Source organism: Homo sapiens, chromosome 13 (assembly GCF_000001405.40).
Source record: "Homo sapiens chromosome 13, GRCh38.p14 Primary Assembly".
Classification (NCBI taxonomy): Eukaryota; Metazoa; Chordata; class Mammalia; order Primates; family Hominidae; genus Homo; species Homo sapiens.
Genome location: NC_000013.11, coordinates 71,544,927 through 71,564,601, shown reverse-complemented (window position 1 = coordinate 71,564,601; position 19,675 = coordinate 71,544,927). Strand labels below are relative to the sequence as shown.

The 19,675-nt window shown below is 31.3% G+C and overlaps 1 protein-coding gene across 6 annotated transcripts in view; it reads left to right on the top strand.

Moving 5' to 3' along the window:
• Positions 1-19,675, top strand: part of DACH1 (dachshund family transcription factor 1) — a 429,239-nt gene that overhangs the window by 302,603 nt on the left and 106,961 nt on the right. For 4 of the 6 annotated variants that reach the window (NM_080759.6, NM_001366712.1, XM_017020396.2 and 1 more), the window contains 2 exons: positions 4,647-4,782; positions 7,444-7,578. The exons of the other annotated variants lie outside the window; for them this stretch is intronic. In NM_080759.6, coding sequence (NP_542937.3) covers positions 4,647-4,782; positions 7,444-7,578 — 271 coding nt within the window. The remainder of the gene's footprint in view (positions 1-4,646; positions 4,783-7,443; positions 7,579-19,675) is intronic. 6 annotated transcript variants of the gene reach the window in all.

Genomic DNA, 19,675 nt, shown 5'->3' with positions numbered 1-19,675 from the left:
CTATTTTTGATTCTGAATTATCCTACACACCAAATACTTCTTGTTCTTCCCAGAGGCAAAAATGCAGCTTTTCCTTTTTTGTCCTCCGGTTACTATTAGTTTATTAGTATGACCTTTTTTTTTTTTTTCAGTGAAAGAGTGCTCCTCTTAAATTTTCATTTATTATTGTGGCGAGTTTTATAAAGATGGAACATTGCAAAAGATTGTGTTTTATTGATTGGTAAAGTTGATTCAGGACTATAAAGGAGTGTGTTGAAGTATTAAATTAAATATTCGTTCTCTCTGTCCTGCTTCAGCCCCTTATTGGACGTTAAAGGGTATTACACAAATGAAATGATAAATCCAGTTTACATAGTTTTCTTATAGACATTGAACTGCTTCTTTCTTATTATGTCTGAATAAAACTCATTATCTATTTTGTTTCAGTAATAATTATGAGATTCCCTCCTAAGCAATTCTTTATTGTCTCCATTATTCTCCATCTTATAGAATACTCTGGAAAGGCAAGCATATAAATATGATAAAAGAATTAAGCTGTTGAAATAAATTAATTTATTGTGCAACAATGTATTCAAATCTTACTTGCTCAATGGATTTTACTTTAATGAAATTCTTCAAAGAACAATACATTAGGTTCCAAAGATTGAAATTATACATTAAGTAAAATGACTGAATATGTTGTGTCTCAATTTATAGAAAGTTTCAATTGAATAGTTAAGCTTTTAAATCATAAACACTTGCATAAATTAAAATATTTTCTTCAAATAACAGTATTAACTGTTGTTTTTGTATCCTTTGTTCTTGAACACAAAACTACAATTAAAGCAAAAACTAAGTTAAAGGTAAATTAAATACTATTATTTTACTTATACATATTTACTGAGCTTTATTATGCTTTTAAAATGCATTTTACATAAAGATTTCAATCTAATTTATTTTTACTTAGTATAATATGCCTTTTTAAGAGTATTTTGGATGTGTAAATGAGTAACTGAACAATTCATGAATTAAAGGGATGATCACAGACAACTTTGACATTTAAGTACATTGACTAATAAAGCATTTTTCTACTTATATGGGAAATGTTAAAATAAACAAGGAATTATTTTAATGGCATAATAATTGTTTCCAGAGATTTATGCATTAAATATTTAAGCATTTTATGAGTTAAATATCTCAGAAAAATTATATTCTCATGCTTTCCATTAGCACTACCAAGAAATCTATTATGACAGGAAAATCAGACTTGCAAAATCATTTTAGAGAGACTGATTTATTTCAAGATTGTACTTTATGTCTGTTCAGCCAAACATGCATTAACATAATGATTAAGAAAAATGTTAAAATTTATTGATAGATAAGCATTGATGTGAGTGAACTTTGGAATAAAATAGAATGGTTAATTTAGAAAATTCTCTTTATACAAAAATATATCAATGCATTTTCTTAAATACACACCATGTATTTCTGTGTAATCCAAGTGCTAACAGTTAGATGTATTAGGAATTAGCTCTAAAGCTTAGACAAACTATGCTTCTATTAGAATTTCAAGAAATCAAGATTAGACTTTAAGAGTATATCTCTGGACATGTATGCAGTTAGCTGCAGTATTGTTTCTTGATATATTTATACAAATTATAAAGGAGTTCTACATATAGCCTTATAAATGCATCCTCTATGATAAGTGCGCAAATACTCCAAAACCATACACAACTAAACTTTTGAATTATGGTGTGGCTAACACAAGCCAAGATTGTCTTTTGATTTGTGATTACAATGATTTGATATGAGAATATTGCCATTTGAAACTTCTTTATAGTTTAGGGTAATTATAATTAGAAGACAGGAAGTAAGTTTTGGCATCCAGATGTGAAGTTTCTGCTCTTTTAAGTCATATACATGTTTGTTTTTTAAAACTGTTGGTCGTTTGTTTGCCTTAGACGTTTTAGAAGCATACATGCTTCATTTTGTTAGCTTGGAAAAGTAACTGATAATATATTCGTTTTCCATGTTACCTGTGATAAAGATTTCAAAATATCTTAATCTGCAAACTGTAAAGTTGGATGCCATCTTTCTGTAGTATCCTAGCGTGTAACAAATGCATACATGTTATAAACGTCTCTGAACAAGTTAGTTTCAAATTTTAATATCTGGGATGTATGTTTGTCTTTGTCCCCCCTTGTTTTCTCTCTCCTCTTCCCATCTCTTCTCTCTGTCTCTTTCTCTTTCTCTCTCCCTCCCACTTATTTGCATATTTGCAGTATTTTAAGTGGAAACCCCACATAACTTGAGATGGAAAATATATTGTGTGTTGCTTACATTTACCTACATATCAGTTTTGCTATTTGCATAAAATAAAACACTTAATTGTTAACCCCGATCAATTAAGGTAAAGGGCTAATGCTTTTTAGTATAATACTAACAATACGTCTGCCTTCTGTGGGAGTTTATTGTCTTTTACAGAAGCCTATCAGCACATATTAGCTCTGTACAAAAACTCTTAAAGTTCAACAAGTTATCATTACGACAAGATTGTAATACGCATTGCAACTTTCGAGATTAAAATTTAATTGACCTCTTTTTTCTTTTCCTTTACAATATTGTTTTGTCATGAAGCTTCTTATAGCGCTTTTTTTTTTTAATTCCATGGAATATATGTTAGGAAACCATTTTATGACATGGATTTGGGAAAAGGGCTTGGCTATTTTTTCTGGTTATTTTCATTTTATTTGTCAGGGTCTTCAAAATGAAGTCTCAGCATATCTGTTGAAGATGTTTATTGGCAATGTACATCATTGAAAAATTAAAAGAGTGTGACAAAAGTACAGCTCAATCTTGGTTCCATATTAAAATCATAGGGAGAGCTTTTAAAAAGATACCGAAGTCTGGGTCCCATTTTAGACCTAGTGTATTAGATTTCTAGGGCCACTGTAACAAAGAACCAGAAACTGGGTACCTTAAAACCACAGAAATTTATTGTCTCTCATTATTGGAGTCTAGAAGTTCAAAATCAGGAGTTCATGAGGACCATGCTCCCTTTGAGATACTAGGTAGAATCCTTCGCTTTCTATAGCTTCTGGTAGCAGCTGGCAATCCTTGCCATTCCCTGGCTTGAAGCTGCACAAGTTTAATCTCTTCCTCTATGGTCACATGACATTCTTCCCTCCTATCTTCACATCTACTTGTAAGGACACGACTCACGTGGGATTAAAAGCCACCCTAATCCAGTATGTTCTCATCTTAACTAATTATGTCTGCAAAGACTCAGTTTTCAAGTACATTCATATTGATAGGGACCAAAGGTTAGGGCTTCAACAGATCTTTTTGGGGAACACAATTAAGCCATAATACTCAGTAAACCAGAATCTCTGGGAGTGAAACTCAAGCATAAGCGCATTTAAGAACATGCCAGGTGATTCTGATGTGCAGCAGGATTTCAAACCATCATGGTGCTAATGGAATCACTTTGACCAAAGATGAGCACGATCATCATTCTCACTGGCAGTACAAAACCTGGAACCTCCTATTTGTTTTCCGTATTAAGTTAACATTGACATTTTGGAAACATTAGCCTCCTACAGGCCAATTACATTTTAGATTTTTTTTCTCTATTTTGTAATTGCATATTTTCTCTCTAATAAGGAATAATGTACTAATTATTTATAAGTACATTATACATCTACATACTTTATATAGTTTTCTTCCACACTTTTAACTATTTATTATTACAAAGACAGTTCATCAAGGCCTGTGTCTGTTAATAACTGAGGGTATAAATATTTTGCTGCTCAAAGTAGAAAATGTTCACCAATGGGTACCTTCTTTCTTAATCTGTAATTCCATTTATAATAGCTAATTGGAGACATTTATAGAATCTACTTGCAGATTTGTCTAATGGAGAATGTACAGAGCTTAGAGAGGGAGGTGTGGAGAGAGACAAGACTGTTGACATAAAATAGAGTATCAGGAAGCACAGTACCAAATTTCCCTGGGACATGATTGATATATATTTCATAAATGTGCCCTTAATACAGTTGTGTGGTTGAATTGAAGCTAGGTGTGGTAGGTACTCTGAGAATTATTTAAACCAAAGAAAATTATTCCAATATTAAATAATAATCCATTTCCATGATGCCTGAAAATGTGACTGAGTATGTCCAGAGCAGTACTAGGATGGAATACCTGTTAAAAACTCCTCTGGTATTATTATTATGGTCAGTCATGTTGATAATGTGTTTATTACATGATCTTTAGATACTTGCAGAAATAAGGGAATATATTTAAAGATTTCTTCAAAATGATAAATAATCCTTCTTTATTCTCTGAGATCTTTGTTGTCTAATGGGTTCTTATTTGTTTATTTTTGGGCGTCTTCCTAGGGCTTACTTTTTCTCCAGAGTGGATTGACATTCGCCATTACTGCAGTCACGCTTACCTGTAGAACCATAGTTTCATAGACCATCTTTTTCTACTTTATTTGGCTTGCTCAAGATAAACATATCTTTTAGTACAGTTAAATGCTGATGAAGTAAAGTGTTTATTCTCTTTACATTTCTTATTGTATTGAGAAAAAACAACATTCATTAAGTAAAGATCCGTTGTATTTAACATCTTTTCTACCCTCCTTCCCTCTCTTGCTGGTGCAGGAGCGTGTTCCTGATAGCCCCTCACCTGCCCCCTCTCTGGAGGAGGGGAGAAGGCCTGGCAGTCACCCATCATCACATCGCAGCAGCAGCGTGTCCAGCTCCCCTGCTCGGACTGAGAGCTCTTCTGACAGAATCCGTAGGTCTCATACTTCTACTTGTCACCATTTTAAACTTTATTAGGGTTCAGCTGGATTTTCTAATCAACATGCCCTCATTCCAAATAGATCTCAGATGGATCATGTTCTGAAACTCTGTAGCAATAGCCATCTCTCAAAATTATGTTTCCCAGTTTGCAATATCATGAGGTATGATACTACATTAACAGGTCCTGATATAAATTTCCTCTCTTTGATGCCACATATAAAGATTTGAGCTATGAAACAGAGAAAATAAGTAACCGTTTAGATTGGTTTCTGAAGTAAACACAGCCAATTCTCAAATATCTAGTGTCTTGGTACACTGTTTATGGATTATTCAACATCATTCCTCAAATCCTACTCTGCCATTTTTGTAATTCACTGACTTTTAAATTTTATCCTTGTGTTAATGGAGATATCCACAAAGAGAAATCAGTTAAATTCAAAATACTAAACTTAAAAAGCATACATTTCTAAGTCATTCAGGTGGTCAATGGATTAAATAATTTGAAATTAGCTAAGTTTGAGAATTTGAATTAGTAACAATCAATAATGCATAGTATTGCCATATATTGTTATTTTTAAAATTTGGAAAGTAGGGCTGTGTGTTATTTTATAATATTTTCACAATATTTAATCTTGGTAGTTATGGCCAAGAAAATTAAGAATAAAGTTAAAATGCCATCCAATTAACAAGTGATTTTTGTGTCTGTACAATAATCTCAGATTGTTCTTTTGATAAATGACTATATTAAAAGAGAATAACTTGTTTGATAAAACCTATATATATTGCTTATTCCCAGAATTTAGCTATTATTTTATGCAATTATGTTTATAGCATACACTTCATCTAATTGTACAAAGTTTATTTAAGTTATTTGGTTGTCGAGAATATTTTCATAATAGGAAAGCATTTTCTAGAAAGTCACTTTATAGGTTATAAAGGAATGTATGCATAAAGTGAAAATTGTTGATCTGGGAGCTATTGAAGTGGATAATTTAAAGATTAAGTTGAATGCTGTGTAAATAATTATAAATAAAAGATAGTCAATTATTGGCAATTATATAGTTCAACATAATACTAAATATATATACTTGCTTTGGCCTGCCGGAAACGTATTTCCTTAATTTTGTAACTTTATATACAATTTTAAAACAGTTTTCAAATGAAATATTTACTGTATATTTTTATGGTATGTTGACACTAGAATCAGAAATTTAATGATAAATATTGGTTTCATTATAAGATATTGTCATTGGAAAGGTGCTGTCCTAGAGAAAAAAAAATTGGAACAAAATGAAAATGATGGACAGATGGGGGAAGATTTGAATGAGTTTTGTTATACATTCATGTTATTTTAGTAATGGTAATATTCTTTTTTCAATTTTTGATAGAAACAAAGGAGACATTTTTGTATGCCTGGGATACCATAATTGTTGAAATGGAAATACATCCACATCCACACACATACATATATATGTACATATATGTAACATATTACTTTAAAGTAATTTTAGACTAACAGAAAATTTTCAAATATAATGCAAATCATTCTTATGTGTTTGTCATCCTGATTTACCTCATCAGTCAACCAATCAAGTTCTCTGAAAGTGATATCTCAATATAGGCATAATGTCACCTAGTGCTTCTGTCATAGATTTAATACAACTTTATCTCAAATTCATCATCGTTTATCTTCTAGAAACAAGAGCATTATTTTACATAAGAGAAAAATGATCAAAATCAGGAAAATAACATTATTATAGTACTAAAATTTGAACTACAGTTTTTATTTAAATTGCACTGGTTTTCCCACCAATATTTTTTAAAGCAAGATTTTTTTTTTTTTCTAGCTGCAAAAGCCAATCTATGATCACACACTACAATTAGTTGTCATATTCTCTTAGTATTCTTTAATCTGGAACAGTTCCTTAGTCCATTTTGTCTTTCAGTAACTTTTTTTTTTTTTTTTTTTAGTACAGGCCATTTATTTTGTAGAATGTCCCTCAGTTTGGATTTTTTTATGTTTCCTTTTGATTAGTCTTAGGTTATGGATGTTTGGTGGGAATCACACAGCTGTGATAGTGTGTCCTTCTTAGTGAATCATTTCAGGAAACACACATTTCTACAGTACCAGCAATAAGTTTATCACTTTCTTAAGGTGGTGACTACTAGGTTTCTCTATTGCAATATTACTTGTTGTTGATGTTTACCTTTGTAGATAGTGAGTGCCTGGTGAGAAAAATATCTTAAGACTATGCAAATATTCTGTTCTTAGCAAACTTCCATTCACTAGTTTTAGAATTATCCCTTGATCCTGAAACAATTATTATTAATGGTGTTTGCCAAATAGCAATTTCTACTATATTATTCTTATATTTTAAAAATTTACATTTTCCAGATAAAAATCTTGTTTTATGCAAAATAAAAATAAAGTGAGGTGATGTCATTTTCAATATTTTCTGCATATTCTGACAAATTATCATGTTTATCAGTTATCACAGTGTTTTTAGGGATAGATTATAAATTTAAAGGTAGACCATTATATTAATATTATAGTTACTGTTGAGTCCAAGAGAGTTTAATTGACTTATTGGAACCTTGTGTGTTATGGTGTTTTTGTGTTTTGTTTTGTTTGTTTTCTTTTGGGCCATAATAGCGGTCCATCAGAATGGGTTGTCCATGAACCAGATGCTGATGGGCTTATCACCAAATGTACTTCCTGGGCCCAAAGAGGGAGATTTGGCCGGTCATGACATGGGACATGAGTCAAAAAGGATGCATATTGAAAAAGGTAATGTATGATTATATATTCCTTGTTTTTCCCGATTCAATAGATTTTAGAACTAGATTTTAATCACACAATGAAGTCTATCTCTACATCATGTAAAAAAAAAGCATATAAATGTTTTTAAAATCCACAATATTAAGTACAAATTAAACCTATTCATTCAACAAAAAAGAGATAAGAATGAAGACCTGCTGCACTTCTCTTACACAACAGGTAAGTTACAATTTAGTTACCAGTACATTAAAAAAAAAAGTCCCAATTGTTATCTCTCAGTTCCTAAAGGGTCTGCTATTTGACTTTTTCAATACCTTCAGGGTCACTGTCATTTTACTTAGCATGATAGAACAATAACAATATAGAAAGGATTATTCTGTCTTCTTTTGAATTAAAAAAACAGTTTACAGACCAATAAGGAAACAGAAATATATTTTATATGTCAATGTACTACTAGTTGTTTCAAGATATACCAAGAAACCTCAGGTTCTACATAGCTAAAAAAGTTTCTTATATTTTGTTAATGTCAATCAAACCCATTTTTCACAGGCAAAAATGTGTATTTTCATGCCTTATTTGATAATTCCATGAAAAAATTAAAATATTTTAGTCAGCATATTAGAAATTTATTCTTGGAGATGCAAATACGTATTTTCAAATTGTAAGTGTTAAATTGTGGATATAAGAATCTTCCCACCTATTTTTTATTTTAACTTAATATTTTCAAACTTTATAAATATAGATAGGATAATTTGCTTATCTTTTTTTGACAAAGCCATCAAATAATCAGTGTTGTGAATAAGGGTATTTCTTTGGAAAACATAAAAGGGGCACAATTAATCAGCTGTCAACAAGGAAAGGAAACAAAATTGGGTATTTAAATAATTGAACAGGAATAAATGCGTGGAGGGAGATTAAGTTAAGGAGGGGTACCTTCTTCCCACCAAAAAGACTACTCACAAAAAAGTAAAAATGCTTACATAAAACATTTCCCTTTCAGCATAAAAATAGCTCTGCTAAATCCCTTAGAGAGAAGGAGTATATTTCTACAAATTAGATTATTTGAGCTATGGAATGTCAGAGAGAAAACAATAATCTAGGTACTAACATGTTAACATCTAGGCATAATTGAGAAATAGAGACATTAATAAAATTTTTACATTATTTATTGTGAAACTTGATATCAAGTGCTATTTATATTAGGCATTCGAATGCAGTGCACGACTAGGTCAGATGGTCTCTAAATTTTTAACTTACATTTTTTTCACAACCTCTTCATTAACAATAAAGCAGAATGTCATGTATATTATCCATCATATTTATTTTGACCTATACTTTTGATATTTAATAAAAAATCCATGCATAGCAATATTGTAAAAATTAGTATAGTGGGGCTGGGTGTACTGGCTCACACCTGTAATCCCAGCACTTTGGGAGGCTGAGGCAGGCAGATCACGAGGTCAGGAGTCGAGACCAGCCTGACCAATATGGTGAAACTCCGTCTCTACTAAAAATACAAAAATTAGATGGGCGTGATGGTGCGCACCTGTAGTCCCAACTACTCGGGAGGCTGAGGCAGAAGAATTGCTTGAACCCTGGAGGCAGAGGTTGCAGTAAGCCGAGATCGCGCCACTGCACTGCAGCCCGGGTGACAGAGTGAGAGTCCATGTCAAAAAAAAAAAGAAAAGATAAGAAAAATTAGTATACTGGTAAAACATAAAGTTTCATCGAAGACTCAAGTTTTAAGTAATGATATTTAAATATAATAATTAAATGTATGGGTGTCACAATCATTCTCCACTAGGGTTGAGCTAAAGGGTAAAGCCCTACAGAAAATTATTTGAGTCACTCTTTTCTCAATTTTCCCTTACATACTATTTACCAAGTTTAACTTGGGATGCATAAGAAGGAAGTTAATTTATGTTATACAATGAATGTCAGGATATTAGAGCTAAATTCTCTTGCAGCACCATGGTGGAGAAGGGCTAAGAGAAATATACAAGTCCAGAGGTGGTAGTGAAGAGAAAAATACAAAAGGAATGACCAGTACTAGAATTGGAATAACAAATCTCACTAGAATTTTTGGTGGAGAGCTTTGTGCAATGTTATCCTTTGAATTGACCTATATTTTTCATAACTATTCCTTTTTCATATGTCAAGATTTCAATCTCTCTACTTATTTATTATTATTATAATTTTGCCACTGTGGAGCATTTGTTGAAATAATATACTAGGTTGATGATCTAGGCATGTTTTAAAGTATTTGCTTTGTTATTTGGAAGTTATTTCTTCATTGCTATCCTTCCACTACTAGAATGTACTACATTTGCTTTAAACAGACAAGGCAGTCTTTGAGTGCATACTGATCTGGGCTGAATTACTGGAAGTTTCTAAGAGATAGACAAGAGTTAAAACAACTGTGGAGATCACATGCTTTAAGGATTAATAGCAAGGCCAAAGGTGGAATTTTCTGACCTTCATAAAGCACATTTATATGAAACACATTAGAACATTCTGACCACGAATATACATAAAAACTTACTATATCACTAATGGTACTTACATCAAGGTTTTATAAATTGTTTTGCTGTAAGAACAAAGTCCTTGACCATAGCCCGACAGTTTCCCAATATTTTGACATATATTTTATAATGACAAATAAATTTTTAAGATTCTCCCTAGAAATGTGAAAGTATCATTGATTTCAAATGTGTATATGTAATCTCAAAATTTTAATAGATTTTGATACTATTCTAGTAAGCGTTTTGTTATGTGATGCTTTTCTCTTGTGTGTACCTTCTTTTATCTAGTTTTTAATATAGTGAATTAATAGTAAATATTCATAGGCTTTCTAAATTGATAGAAACTACGAAATTAAAAATTGTTTTCTTTCATGACAAAATTTTCATGGGCCTCATAATATCCCTGTAACTTTCCTACAACTCATATCTCTATCAAACAGATAACTTCATTTAGAGATAGATATTTGTGGAGAAATTAATTGTATGTTCGTTACATTTTAGGCTTGAACCTATATGTAATTTGCTGCCTGCCAACTAAATTATTCAAAGGACAATTAATTCTTTAGAAAACACTGATTCCAAAAATAGATGCCAAAATTTATTTGTATTCTGAGAATCACTGTGGTCTGAAATCTTAAGCATCAGTAACTTAAACATTTTATGTTCTTCTTAATATTAAATAGCTATGGGCTCCATTCTATTAGCCCAAAAAATTAAGTCACCATTAGTTGAAGGACCAGAGGTTTTAACTATTGAGTAAATTCATTCCATTTTAAAAATAAAGTATGCTCACATAAGGTTTTGAGCTTAGGGAGAGTATAATTAAGGCATATATATATGCATATATATATATATATACTATATATATAAAATACAAAAACAAATGTTATATATATAACAATATAAAATACAAAAATATAAAAATACAAAATGCAAAAACAAAATGTTATATATATATATAAAACAAAAGTTTTAGGCTTGAATCTATGTCAGTTCACATCCATATATATGTATATATATATATGTATATATATATCCCATATATGTATATATGTATATATATATGGATATATGTCTAATATACATATATGGATATATGTCTAATATACATATATGGATATATGTCTAATATACATATATGGATATATGTCTAATATACATATATGGATATATGTCTAATATACATATATGGATATATGTCTAATATACATATATGGATATATGTCTAATATACATATATGGATATATGTCTAATATACATATATGGATATATGTCTAATATACATATATGGATATATGTCTAATATACATATATGGATATATGTCTAATATACATATATGGATATATGTCTAATATACATATATGGATATATGTCTAATATACATATATGGATATATGTCTAATATACATATATGGATATATGTCTAATCCCACATATATATATGGGATTACAGCACCCACCACCACGCCTGGCTAATTTTTGTATTTTTAGTAGAGACAGGGTTTCACGATGTTGGCCAGGCTGGTCTCGAACTCCTGATCTCAGGTGATCCACCTGCCTTGGCTTCCCAAAGTGCTGAGATTACAGGGCGTGAGCTACCACACCTGGTCTATTAGTTCTGTCTCTTTCTCTCTCTCTCTCTCTCTCTCTCTCTCTCTCTCTCTCTATATATATATATATATATATATATATATATATATATATATATATATATATTCACATCCATATATATATATATATATGCATGAAAACTGTCTTTCAGCTTTTCCAAACATCCGGAGTCCTCAAGAGCTTTCTGTGTTTTAAAACATTGCTGATCTTTTCCCTCATTCTAAATATAGTGGAATAGGCTGTAATAATTGACATTTGTGGTATATAAATAGGCTCACTGTTTCTTGATGCTAGAGCTCTCTGTTTATCCTCCACACATTTGTCCACTGACGCTAGTTTACAGTGTTGCTCTCTCATGCATAATTTGTTTTGGTTTTTCTTAAATTGCTGCTACTTTCAACAAATTTTGGAGCACACTTCTTACCTTGCCTGTAACTCAATATGTACATTTTTGTTATTATACGATTTACCTAATTTTTGATTGATCAAAAATTATATATATGATGGAGATAAGCCTATAATATTAACTTCTTCCAATTATAGAAAACTTAAGCATTTATAGTTGTGACTAACTGTTGCATACCTAATTTGTATTATTGTATTTTGGTCTTGGATTAAGTAGTCCAATGTGATGTAATCAATGAGTAAATATTTACTGAAAGCTAGATATGTGAATGAAAAGAAATGAAATGCAAATCAATCGCTCTCTTTCTCTGTCTCTCCCTTTCCTCGTTAAAATTATACAGATTTTTTTCTTGATATGTCATTTCTCCTACAGATAAGGCTTTTCTCTTCATTTGTTTTCATAAGAAATAAGAAAACTTTCTTTCACTGGTGACAACTTCAGGAGACCAACATTTCAGAGGCAGGACTAATCTGAGGGAGGCAGGAAATCCAGGGGATTTGCTTCAGGCCATAAAGCCCTTCTTTTGTGTCATATTCTGCTTGGTGGGGAATGCTCAAGATTTCCAATGCTCAACATCTCCAATGCTTAACATCTTTGTATAAAAACTTTTCATACTGGTAATCTAAAGTGAAGGACACAGCACTAAAGACAATAATGTAGTTAGCAAACTGGCCATATTTGGCTTTTTGTCTCTTCTTTATATTTTAGTCTTAGCATCCAATCTTATGGACCATTTTCATACAAAGCCCTTTTGAAAGAAAATCATTATGTATCACTTTATTCAAGTTTTTGGAAATAATTTTTGAAATATATTTTTATTTGTGCAGTTCTCATTGTTTAAAAATCCTAACTTAAATCAAGATTGAGTCTTCAAAAATGCAGCAACATGAATGGAACTACAGGTCATTGTGTTACGTGAGATAAGCCAAGTACAGAAAGACAATAAGTACATGTTCTCACATACATGGGAACTACAAAAGCGTATCTCATGAAGGTAGTTAGATTGCTGGTTTCCAGAGGCTGTTTAGAACAGTGGGGAGGAGAGAGGATTAATGGGTCCAAATACACAGTTAGATAGATGAAATAAGACCTAATGTTCAATAAATCAATAGGGTGACTATAGTTTACAGCAATCTATTGTATATTTCAAAATACCTAGAAGAGGATAATTTCAAATATTTCTAGCATAAAGAAAAGACAAATATTTAGGGTGATGGATATCCCAATTCTACTGATTTGGTCTTTAAAAATTATGTAAATGTCTTAAACTATCGCATGTACTCCCAAAATATATACATCTATTATGTATCAATAAAAAATTAAATTATAAGTAAACAAATGGCTTTTTTCTTTTAAATTCTAAATAGATCTTATTCAAATTAATCAATACTAAATATTACATACAACAACTATATGGGAGCCTGTTAGTATCTCCTGTGTCTATATAGAATTGCATAGACTAAAAGCCTTTTTTCTTTAAAATTTTCTATATTTTGATAATGTTAACACATATTATAGGGCCATGAGTATTTTCACTTGTAAAATTCTCTAACACGCAACTTCTCCTTTACTTATACCATCTAAATATATCTTTTGTTGGCATATCTCAAAGTCTCCTGTAAAATATTCTATTACCTACCTATGTAATTTTCCTCCTCAGTTTCCATGCCTCGAAAATAAGTGTTGAACTTAGTGCCATCACTTTTAGTTCTGTGATTATAACACTGGACAACAACAACTTTCTTTGGATCCCAGAGCTCTTTCTTAAGTAGATAGCAGATTTCATATGCAAAGCCGTAGCTCAGCTTGCTTAAGACACTGGTTTTGTTATTTTATGAATTATTTCTAGGAGCAGAGCTTGTAATAATATTTCAATGACAATTGAGGAAAATACTTACTGTAAGATATTCATAACAGCCCTGTAAATGATGGGCAATTGGTATAAAATATAGACTATAATATTTATTTACTTTTTACCCATGCGCCTTGATGACCATCACGTCACACTGAACTTTCAAGTTTCTCAAACATCCTCTGTCCTTTCCTACATGATTTCTGTTTCTTTCCTTACATGGGATATGTATGCCTTCCTATCCACTAGTGTTCAGCCCAAACTTCTTCAGGGCAGGAGCTATGTCTTCTCACCTTCTTTGTATACTTAGCACAGGGTCTGGCATTAGTGGGTACAATAAAGTTCTTTTCAGAGTTAAGTGAGATAATATATGTCTGGAGTGCTTGATGCATATAAATATCCAATGGAAACCATTACTACTATCAAGTTAGCTAATGAGCAAGTGGTTTGATTATATAAATTGGAAAATATACATGCTTTAAACCTCTGAATTAGAATATTATCTATTTACAATTCATAATACCACAGTTATCATGATTTACATTTGACCCCAATAGGAAATTTGAAATTATAATATTGTAGACAGCACTTTGATTACATATAGCTAAAATGTAATGTGTACAGTTTTGGAGGAAAAAATTGCTAAATTAACTACATTAATCAGCTATTTTATATGTCAATGATTGTATTAAAAATAATCTTTATTTATTTAATACAATTTCAATGAACCTAGAATTCATTCAATAAATATTTTGAGGAGAAACATGTGTGTGGCTGTGTAAATCACAGGTGATAGTGGGTATTAGATGTGAATAGGCTACAAGAGAGTGGGTTAGAAATCAAACAAGATTCCCTCTGATGGGTAGGAATTCTGTCTTTGAACTACTCACACATGCCACTTGTAAAGTAAATTACTACAGTTTTACATAAAGGTTACATTTCCCAGGAATTTATCATACAAGCAATATGAATATTATATTTAAAAATAGAGTCATTTATTGGTGTTGACAACCTCAGTGGTTTCTCAATTATATCTCCAGTACATCTTTTCTATGTTTAGATTTTAGCAACTTTTTTGTATATTTGGAAAACTGAATCACGTTAATATCTACTGATAATTTTCATGCACTATATGTCAAAGAGACAAGAGCAGTCTTATAAATGCTATAAATTTATACATTATAGTAGTTTTACTTGTGATCAGATGAGATGCCTTTTCCGCATTTAAAAAAACTATTATTCCACTTAATCTGCTTTATTTTCTTAATACGGTAGGTGTAGAATGACTCACTTCCTCACTGTTTAAGAGATTGTTTTTATATAGTTGTGCAAATAGATAATATTTTTAAAGCATTAAACGTGAGGTAGAGAACAAATTACTAGTAGACTCACTTATCAGTTTCACATTGAAATTTGCTTCATTTAATGATTTATCAATCATCATAAATTCCCTTATTTTATTGCTTTCATCTAAGATGTGATTGGATAACTTATTATTTGGCTTAATGAATTGGTTATCTCTAGTTTTTTTTTCCTGCAATTTACTAGCATATTGCTAGTAGATTTCTTTCAGTTTTGCTAGTTTCCAGTTGATAGTTTGCATAGTCTAGTATGGAAGTGATCTACAGAGGAAGGTTATGTGTATTTTTTACTATGTCTATTTGAGTGAGAATTTACCCCAAATTGAAACTTTTTCTTTTTCTTTCTTTCTTTTTTCTTTTTGGTGACAGAGTCTTGCTCTGTTGCCCAGGCTGGAGTGCAGTGGCACAAAACATGGTTCACTTCAACCTCCACCTCCTGGGTTCAAGTGATCCTTGGGTCTCAGCCTCCCGAATAGCTGGGACTTCAAGCACACGCCACCACACCGGCTACTTTTTGTATTTTTAGTGGAGATGAGGTTTTACCATGTAGGCTAGGCTGGTCTCGAACTCCTGGGCTCAGGCAATCCACCCACCTCAGCATCCCAAAGTGCTGAGATTACAGGCGTGAGCACCACACAGTGCCTGAAAGTTAATTTTGAGAATAGTAATTAACAATCCAACATTGTTTAGTGGAGCTGAAGATGTTTTTATTTTGCACATTTTAATTTTGTAAATGGACAGCTATGTTTTTTTCCTCAAAGAACTATAAAACACTTGTTTTCCTTCCTTGGTTAGACTTATTTAGAAATGTACAAAAATGACTGTTAAAAGTTCAGTGATTCTAACAGCTTTCTTATTTTTTAATATGAAAGAATAACAAAATTCAAATTCTGAGTTTCCACAGATATCAGATTACTCTGTATGATGATGTTTTTATGGAATAAAGGAATAGAATATCTGAAACTGCATATATTTTGACCTAATAGTTTTGAAGTTTCTAACCTGAGATATAAACTGCCACATGGACATATAATAATTTGACATAATAATGACTTTTCTACAAACAAAGTTTTTTATCTTATGGCTAATCATCACTAAATACAAATAAATTTCTTGTTTGTTCAAAATATCTTCCAAGTATCTAAATTTTTAAAAAGAGAAAGTGTTGCCACTTAAAAACATATTTTCAATTTTGCCTAACACTCACAGTCTACTTTTATTAAAATTTTTTATAACCTCACGTGTGCACACGTATACCCCTGCATACACACAAATGCTTTAACTTCTCTTGGTAGATGATGGAGTGATCTTGCATTAAATGCTGTATTATAGGTTAAGAAGCAGAGTAACACCCCTGTTGTTTCTTGTGCTTGGAGCAGTTTGAATTCTTCCATCAAATTGGTAGGATGATTTAACACATTCAGTCAGCCTTGTTTGCAGGGCTTGTAAATAATAGCCAAGCTTAGGTAAATCCCAAAGACACTAGAACTAATTTGAAGTTTATATGAAATAGATCAAAAGTTAATATGGAACTAGTGGTTATTATGTTTAAATGCATAGTAACCTGATGATATTTTGAAGGTATTTTAAAGGAGATATTGCCCACCTGCTATAGAAAACTGGGTAGTGTTTTTCTTTGACTTTTCCTTGCTTACTACCACTTAATCTTGTCCTTTTGACAAATTATTCCTAGAGAGGTATGTGATAACTTCTGTGTATAACAGTTTTGTCCCAGTAGAAGCTGCATTTTAGATTTTCTTTAAAATTTTACATTACTATTGTTGCTAGTATCTTATGCTACAGTTTCAGAATATTAAACAAGTACAATTGTTTTAACTACTGTGAAATTGACAGATGAAGCTGAAAACCAAAAGCACCTTTCATGGGATTTTAAACACCATTTTCCTCCATATGCCATCCCAATTATTATTTAGATATTACATTCCTAATTTACTGTTAAGGTTGATTAGAATTCAAGCCTCTCAAAAGCATGCACCAAAGGTCTTGGGCTGTGGAAAACATTTTTATAAAATAATCCATTAATGCAGAGGAGTGCAACTAAATTAGTTAGCAATTTGCTGAGCATGAATTAATGAACAGAGCTTCTTCCAGCTCCCAGAGTTGTAATTTTCATAATAACCTCAGACCTTTATTTGGCAGGTTGTTTAGTTTTTTCGTTTGAAGGTTTTCATTAGTCTAATGAGGACTGTGCAAGGGCGAGCAGTCAGCACAATTTACATGGGGAAGCTATCATAATAAATGAAGCAATTTGAATAACACGCAAGGGTTTATGCAACAAGATAAGAAGAGATTGTAGAGCGAGATTTAGAGGTAACCAATACATTAGACCAACTAATAACTGAAGTAATCCCAATAAAAGGCTTAAGTGAAAGGAATGAAATTAATGATATATACAAAGTTGTAATGATATGATACATGATTCATTAGATTAATAAAATAAGTATTCAATTGTTTTTAGTGCTTTTGGTCTAAGCTTTGTTTATATCAGACATTTTAATTAGGATTGTTCTCTAGATCACTTTGCTTAGTTAACTTTTAGACCATAGCTGAGGTTTTTAATGATATTTTTTCCTTCTTATTTAATCTTTATAGCCTTGATAGTTCATTGAATTAATTATAAGCAATATATTGTGTATAGAAATGCTTTTTAAAAGTAATTGCATATAGCTCTACCTAAGTGGTGATTAAACTTTAAGAATGAATGCTCAATATGTTTCTAAATTCTTAAAAACAACTGCTTTTGCTTCTACTCCAAGCAAGTAAAGTACCCTTATGTTTTAATGTTCTATAATTTCATATCAAAATAGTAATAACTAAGTATTATTTTATTGGTATATTTCAGGAGGAGCCATTTATTAAATACATTATTAGAAATTTATTATATCCAATGTAAATCTTTAAGATACAAGTTAAAAAATTTACTTTAAAAAAGCCATAAATTAATTTTCTTCTTTATATATCCCTCTTTTGAAAAATGTAATCTGGTGCACAAGTGCTTGAGAATTATACTTTTGTGAAGGTAAATCAGTCTGACAATCCTGTGTGCTTTTACGAAGCTGTGATCTGAGGAAACAGTTGATAGGATGATTTAAAAAAATTTTATTGCAAGCAATATAAACTTTAGAAAGCTGATCTGTTTGACATATGGAGCCAAATTACTTTAAGTAAAATGTAATTTTCTACATAAAAATGTATCAGCCTTCACTGGATCACTACCTAAAGGGAATTCCCCTTCTACTCAGATATCTGTATAAGTGGCCAAAATTGATGGATATTTATGAAGGCTTTGCCATTCTGTGCTCTTCTTCTAAGTTTGGAATTACTGCATGCCTCTCTGCCTTGATTTCAAATCACAGCTTCTTGGATGTAGAAAATTTAATAGATAATTATCTTCCCTTATGTTAATGAAGGGAACAAGTTGTTTAGTCTTCATTTGTGAATATGTTAAAGTTATGTTAGGATACTTTTAAAAAATCATGATGGCTATATATTTCAAACTTGTGATTACATTTGTCTTTATGGTTCTTCATTTAAAAGACAGCACAAATGAATTATTTTGTGGACTATATTTTGTTAAAAATTTTTCAATAAAAAATACTTTCAGAAGATGAGACAATCATTAATTAGTTGAATGTTTCACAGGTTCATCCCTTCCTTTCCTTCCTTCCTCCCTCCCTTCCTTCCTTCCTTTCCTCCCTCTCTCCCTCCCTCCTTCCCTCCCTTCTTCCTTCCTTTCTTCTTTTCTTCTTTCTTTCTATCTTTATTTAAAAATCGTGATAACTATGAGATACTTTGAGGTTACTAATGAAGCATGAAAATAAGTATATAATGCTTTTATACTTTCTTCAATTTGCTATATATTGACCTTATTATTTATCATGATTGTTATTATTTATTATCCATTCCATAATAACACAAGTAATCTATTATGGAAAAATCTTGAATTCACAAAATAGTTTTATATTCGTCTAAGAGATGACTATCACTGGAAGCACTCTAGCATGAGGGTAAGAAAATATCCTCGGGATTAGACTTCTCTATTTAAGTCCTGGTTAAAATTTCGAACTTGGGAAATTAGCGAATGTCCGTGACCTTCAGTTTCTTCATCGGTAAAAATTCAGTTTGTAGTACTTGAAAAAAGCAAGTTTGTTTTTATAAAAATTAGCAAAACTGTTCCATCTGTATGGAGCACTGTATACGTGTTGTGCCATATCACTCAGGGTCCTATCAGAAAACAGACAGCTCATAGAAGTAAGATAATTCAAGGTGTAGGTACAGAGGATGATGCAGTAATCTAGGGCTTAGTAGAAGCCAGGCTGTCACATTCTGGT